The 6,441-nt window shown below is 46.6% G+C and overlaps 1 pseudogene; it reads right to left on the reverse strand.

The window, feature by feature from the left end:
- On the reverse strand, positions 3,026–3,324 carry RN7SL493P (RNA, 7SL, cytoplasmic 493, pseudogene; annotated as a pseudogene).

Here is a 6,441-nt window from a genome sequence, read left to right on the forward strand (position 1 = left end):
CTCCCAGCACCTCGGAGAGAAAGGCAGAGCCGAGCAGGGGAAACTGAGGTGAAGCGACGGGGCGACATCTCCCTTGTTAAGGACCCTCAGCCAAGGAAGGCTTGCAGGGCGTCCTCACAGCAAGCACTGGGATTTGATTAGACAGCTGTCAGAGAGAGTAAGAGGAAACCCATGAACGCACACTTCCCAGATGTCTGGCAGCCACAGACTGGGCCATTTCCAAGCACCAGCTCATTTCATCTCTGTGCCTCGATTTTCCAATCTGCAAAATGGGGCTGTGAGGCTATGCCTCATAGACTTGTGAGATTTAAATGAGTTTAAACAGGTCAAGGAGAGAGCCTGGAAGGAGTAAGCTTCAAAAAATGCTATTAACTATTTATTATTTTTTTTATCGCCTTTACATCTAATCTAATAAAGTAGGCAAACATTATCCATTGGGCTTGTTGAAAAATGAAAATAATAATTACATTTTTAATCATTTCCTCTATAGTGCATAGTTAGGCTGCAAGACTATGTCAGAACCAAATTTATTTTTTGCTACACTGATGTGTTGCACTGTGCTAAAGTCAGGGCCTTCAGTACGTCCATCACTGGAGCCACACGCATTATACCCACCAGGCAACCACCTATTGCCTGCGCACCTGACCTCCTCCACACCTCCAAGTCTCCACCGTCCATCACCCCACACTCTGCTTCCATGTGTACATATTATTTAGCCCCTGCTTACAAGTGAGAACATACAAGCATTTGTCTTTCTGTGTCTGAGATGTTTCATTTATGATCATGGCCTCCAGTTCCATCCGTGTTGCTACAAAAAAATTTTCATTCATGTTTACGGCTGAATAGTATTCCATTGCGTGTGTATTTATATAGGTATATATACTACATTTTATTTATCCTGTCCTCCATTGATGGCCTCTCAGGTTGATTCCATATCTTTGCTGTTCTGAATAGTGCTGTGGTTAAACATATGGGTGCAGGTATCTTTTTGTATAATGATTCAGGAAACAAAATGAAAAAGGGAAAGGCAGGTGGGTTGTCTCCACCCAGATCAGAGGGAAAAGGGGAGAAAGGGAACGGGAGGGAAGGGGAAGGAAATGCAAGGGGAAGGAAAGGAAAGGGAAAGAAAGGGGAAGAAAAGGGAAGGAAGGAGATGCGAGATCAGGGGAAGGTAAGCAGGGGCACATATCACCTTGTTTCTGGTTCTCTGCTCCTGGTCAAAGTTCAGCGATCCACAGAGCAAGCCATAAGTGAAAACAGGAAATTATGATAAGATCTTTAGGGCTGCTGCACACACACACACTGCCCACCTCCTAACAGGGGCCAAGCCAAGTGCTAACCACAGGTCATCCAAGTTTTCTGCGTTCAGCAAGATTCCAGTGCCTAAACCATAGAATCCTGGAGATCCTCCCCAAAAAAGCGCAAAATGGAACAATAATTTCTCACCTTGGAGAGACACAGTGAGGATAGCATGAACAAGTGTGTACAGAGTTCCTAGCACATGAAAGGGCCTCAATAAAATAGTCACTATTATTAGAATCCTGGGTTTTCTTTATTATTTATTTTTTAACCAGTGTATGAGTCCATTCTCACATTGCTATAAAGAACTACCTTAGACTGGGTAATTTATAAGGAAAAGAGGTTTGATTGGCTCACAGTTCTGCAGGCTATACAAGAAGTATGGCTGGGGAGGCCTCAGGAAACTTACAATCATAGCAGAAGGTGAAGAGGAAGGAGGCATGGCTTACACGGCCAGAGAAGAAGGAAGAGAGAAGGGGGTAGGTGCCACACACTTTTAAATAAGCAGATCTTATGAGAACTCACTCACTATCCTGAGAACAGCAAGGAGGAAATCTACCCCCATGATCCAGTCACCTCCCACCAAGCCCCTCCTCCAACGCTGGGGATTACAATTTGACATGAGATTTGAGCAGGGACACAGAGCCAAACCATATCAACCAGTCCTTAATATTTTTTATGTGTTAAAATTACAACATGCTTGACATTAAAAACAATTCAAACTTTAAGGAAGAATAAAGACAGGGGAAAAGCCTCTTCCTCTCTCCTGTCTCTCCACCCAAATTGTTGTTGTTGCTATTGTTTTTATTTTCTTGGTAGGAGCAAAAGTCCTCAATCCAGAAAGTCAAGAGACCTGAATCCTCTCCCAGGATGGCCAGCAACCCTCTGTGTGACCCTGGCCAAGTCATTTTCACTCCCTGTGAAGTTTCCTCTTCTGGGAGGATAGACCAGACGAGCTGTTCTCAAACTCTACTGCACATTAAAATCATCCAGGAGATCTAAAAAACTCCAGCACCCAGCTGGCACCCCCAGGCCAATGAATCTTCGGTAGGACCCAGGCTTCAATATATTTTCAAAGCTCTCTGTGGTTTCAACGAACAGCCATGGTGGCAGGAAACTACCCCCTCTCCTCCCAGGTCCTTCTCAAACTTCACTGTAGGCACAGATCATCCTGGTCTGTGCTAAGATGTAGACCCTGGCTCAGGCAGAGATTGGACATTTCTAGCAAGCTGCCAGGTTCTCTTGCTGCTGGTCCAGGAAAAGGGACTAGACCATTGGTTGAAAAGCTTTTGTTAGCTTTGCAATACTTTCTACAAAGGAAATATTGCATGGAAACAGATACTTAACAAAACTGCTCTGATTAAAGTCAGGGTTCAGAAAGGATGGGACAACCGGAGTCTCAGACTCAGATTCACCCCGAAATCCGTGAATTGGGCAGAATTACAACTCCATCAGAGACATCGTGTCCTGATCCCACAACCTTGTGAACATGTTCCGTTACCTGGCAAAGGGGAATTATGTCTTCAGAGGAAATTAAGGCTGTTAATCAGCTAACCTTAAAATAAGATTATCTGGGTGGGCTTAATCTAATCAGAAGAGGTTGTTAAAAGTGGAAGAGAGTGGCTTAGTATTCCCTATCCACTTTCCCTACATTTTCTCCTCCATAGAACTCATCTTCTAATATATTTTATAATATGTACACTTAAGTTTTGTTTTTTAGTTTTTTAGAGGCAGTGTCTCACTGTGTTGCCCAGGCTGGAGTGCAGTGGCTATTCACAGGCGTGATCCCACTGCTGATCAGCATGGGAGTTTTGACCTGCTCCATTTCCAACCTGGACCAGTTCACCTCTCCTTAGGCAACCTGGTGGTCCCCTGCTCCCAGGAGGTCACCATACTGATGCCGAACTTAGTGCGGACACCCAATAGACACAGTGCATTGCAGCTCAGAACTCCTGGGCTCTAGCAGTCCTCCGGCCTCAGTATCCCCAGTAGCTGTGACCACAGGCACATGCCATGGTGCCCGGCAACATATCGACATATGGCTTGTTTCTATTGTCCTCTTCCCTGGAAAATACTCCATAAAAGTTGGGATTTTGTCTGTTTCACTCATGCTGGATCCAAAGTGCCTACAACAGTGCCTGACGCCACGTAGATGTCTAACAAATATTTATGGAATGAGAAGTTAACAGAAAAAAAAAAGTGGAAGCGGGAGGCAGAAGAGTGATGTAATGTGAGAAAACCTCACACCACTGTTGCTAGAATTGCAGATGGAAGAAGGGGCCCCGAGCCAAGGATACAGGCAGCCTGTAAAAGCTGAAGAGGACAAGAAAATGGATTCTCCTTCAAAGTCTCCAGAAAAGAATTCCTTGGTTTCAGCCCACTAAGACCTGTGCCGGACTCCTGATCCCCAGAACTGGAAGATAATAAATCTGTGTTGTTTTTACCCACTCAGTTTGTGGTCCTTTGTTACAACAGCTGGAGGAAAATAATGCACCCTCTGAAGCATCTCCAGTAAAGCCCTACATCACTGAAGCACAGCTGGGCTAGACAAGCTTCATCACTGTGGATCGTGAAGGGGCTGAGAGTCACTAGGTCTGTCCTCTACCCCTTTTCTTGCACAGCTGGTGGCAGACACTCAGTACTCCGGGACTTGGTGACACAGCCCAGACTGGTGGTATCAGCTTCCCTGGGATTCCAGGGCCCCTACTTCCCCTCCTCCTGGCAGGAGGGGAATCCCAGGTAGCCTCCTCAGCAATGCCGAAGTTATTTTCAGCTTAGCAGCTGAACATTTCAGCAAAGAGCAGCTTGGAAGTGTCTCCTGGACCCCCAGAGGAGACCTTGTTCCTCTCCTTGTGCTGTACCCTGCCAGATGTAGCCTTGCACCTGCCTACTCCAACTGGTGCGGTACCCAGAGCATCTCTGGTCCAACAAACTAGCTCAGGACAGGACAGAGGGTCAAGGGAGACCCCAAGTCCATCCCAGTCTGGTCTCCCCTATGCCAGAGGTGGAGGTTGGACTATTCTGCAGGAGAACAGATGGGCAGGAATCTCAGGGGGTCCTGAAACAGATGAGGTCTCAACAAGAGCCCTAGAACAGTGGTTCTCAGCCCAGCTAGCACCTGGATCCACCCAGGGAATTTTTCAAACTCATGATCAGGCCAAGCACAGTGACTCATGCCTGTGATTCGAGCACTTTGGGAGGTCAAGATGGGAGCATCACTTAAGCCCAGGAGTTCAAGACCAGCCTGGGCAACATAGCAAGACCCCATCTCTATTTTTAAAATGAAAATTTTTTTGCCTGGACATGGTGGCTCACGTCTGTAATCCCATACTTTGGGACGCCAAGGCGGGTAGATCACCTGAGGTCAGGAGTTCAAGACCAACCTGACCAACATGGCAAAACCCCGTCTCTATTAAAAATACAAAAATTAGCTGGGCGTGGTGGCGTGCACCTGTAATCCCAGCTACTCGGGAGGCTGAGGCAGGAGAATTGCTTGAACCCGGGAAGTAGAAGTTGCGGTGAACCAAGATCATGCCACTGCACTCCAGCCTGAGCAACAGAGCGAGACTCTGTCTCAAAAAAAAAAAAAAAAAAAAAAAATGAAAAAGAAAGAAAGAAAAAAGAAAAAGAAAAGAATTTTTTTTAAAACAAACTTCATGATGCCCAGGCTGCTGCAATTCAATCAGATTTCTGGAGGTGCAGCCAAGGTGGCAGTTTTTAAAAGATCCTCAGTGATTTCAATGCAGTCAGGGGCGTGACCCTCTAGATGAATAGTTCTCAGAGTGTGGGTGACAGGTGGACAGCATCGGCATCGCCTGGGAGCTTGTTGGAACTGCAGAATCTCAGGCTCCACCTCAGACCTAACGAATCAGAATCTGCATTTGTACAAGGTCCCAGGAGACTCCTGGGCACTTTCAGTTTGAGGTGCACAACAGTGGAGCATAATAGTTAAGACTGTCAGCCCTCGGTCAGAGTTCGCGGGGTGTCTCCACCACTTCTTTTTTTTTTTTTTTTTTGAGACAGAGTCTTGCTCTTTCACCCAGGCTGGAGTGCGGTGGCGCGATCTCATCTCACTGCAAGCTCCGCCTCCCGGGTTCATGCCATCCTCCTGCCTCAGCCTCCGGAGTAGCTGGGACTACAGGCGCCCGCCACCGCAACTGGCTAATTTTTTGTATTTTTAGTAGAAACGGGGTTTCACCGTATGAGCCAGGATGGTCTCGATCTCCTGACCCTGTGATCCGCCCGCCTCAGCCTTCCGAAGTGCTGGGATTACAGGCGTGAGCCACCGCGCCAGGCCTCCACCACTTCTTATCCACAAAGCCTTGGGCAAATGACACCCTCGGAGCTCTCATTTTCTCCTTTCAGCTTCCTCCCACAACCCACAGGTGGGGCTGGGCAGGAAACTCCAGAAATCCACAGTAGTCCAGGGGACTTGGTGGGGACACCCAGGAAAATTCACAGCCTGTCTTGGAGGAAGAGGTTTGGGAGGACCCTGAAGCTGAAACAGTCTGGAGGACCTCCTGCAGTAACAGAACACGAAATTCCGTGTAAATGTGAAAACAGCTATATTAGGGAAAGGATCCAATTTAAAATATTCTGCCCCTCTATCTCTTTAAATGAGTATCCCGGTCATATGTACTGACCTTCTAGTCTCAAAAATACTCTGTGTGTGTGTGTGTGTGTGTGTGCGCGTGTGGGTGTGTGCACGCACATGTGTGTGTTTGTGTGTGCATTTACCATCTTGGCCTCATGAAAAATTGACAACCCATTCATGGTAGCTGAAGAATGATAGAAGCTTCAAGGTGTTCAAGAGAAGTGTTACAGGAAGTCAGCACTTATTTGAAGCTCCTCCATTGATGAGATCAGAAATCTGGAAACAACACTGGAAAAAAACAGGGCCTTAGAGGGAAAACCAGGCAGCTCTCTGAAGAATTTTAAAAACAGGAACAAGGATTTCTCCATTTGCAGGGCTCTCTGGAAGCGGGCCCTTTCGGATGAAGGCGGCAGGCTATAGTTAGAAAGAGATCCATGGTGAAGAGCATTCTGTTACTATAAATTCACTTCCAAAAGCCAAACATATGTGTGTGCACACACACATAAATATCATATCTATGGAGGAGATAAATCAGCGTATGACATTTA

The sequence above is a fragment of the Homo sapiens genome, chromosome 16, assembly GCF_000001405.40.
Source record: "Homo sapiens chromosome 16, GRCh38.p14 Primary Assembly".
Lineage (NCBI taxonomy): Eukaryota > Metazoa > Chordata > Mammalia > Primates > Hominidae > Homo > Homo sapiens.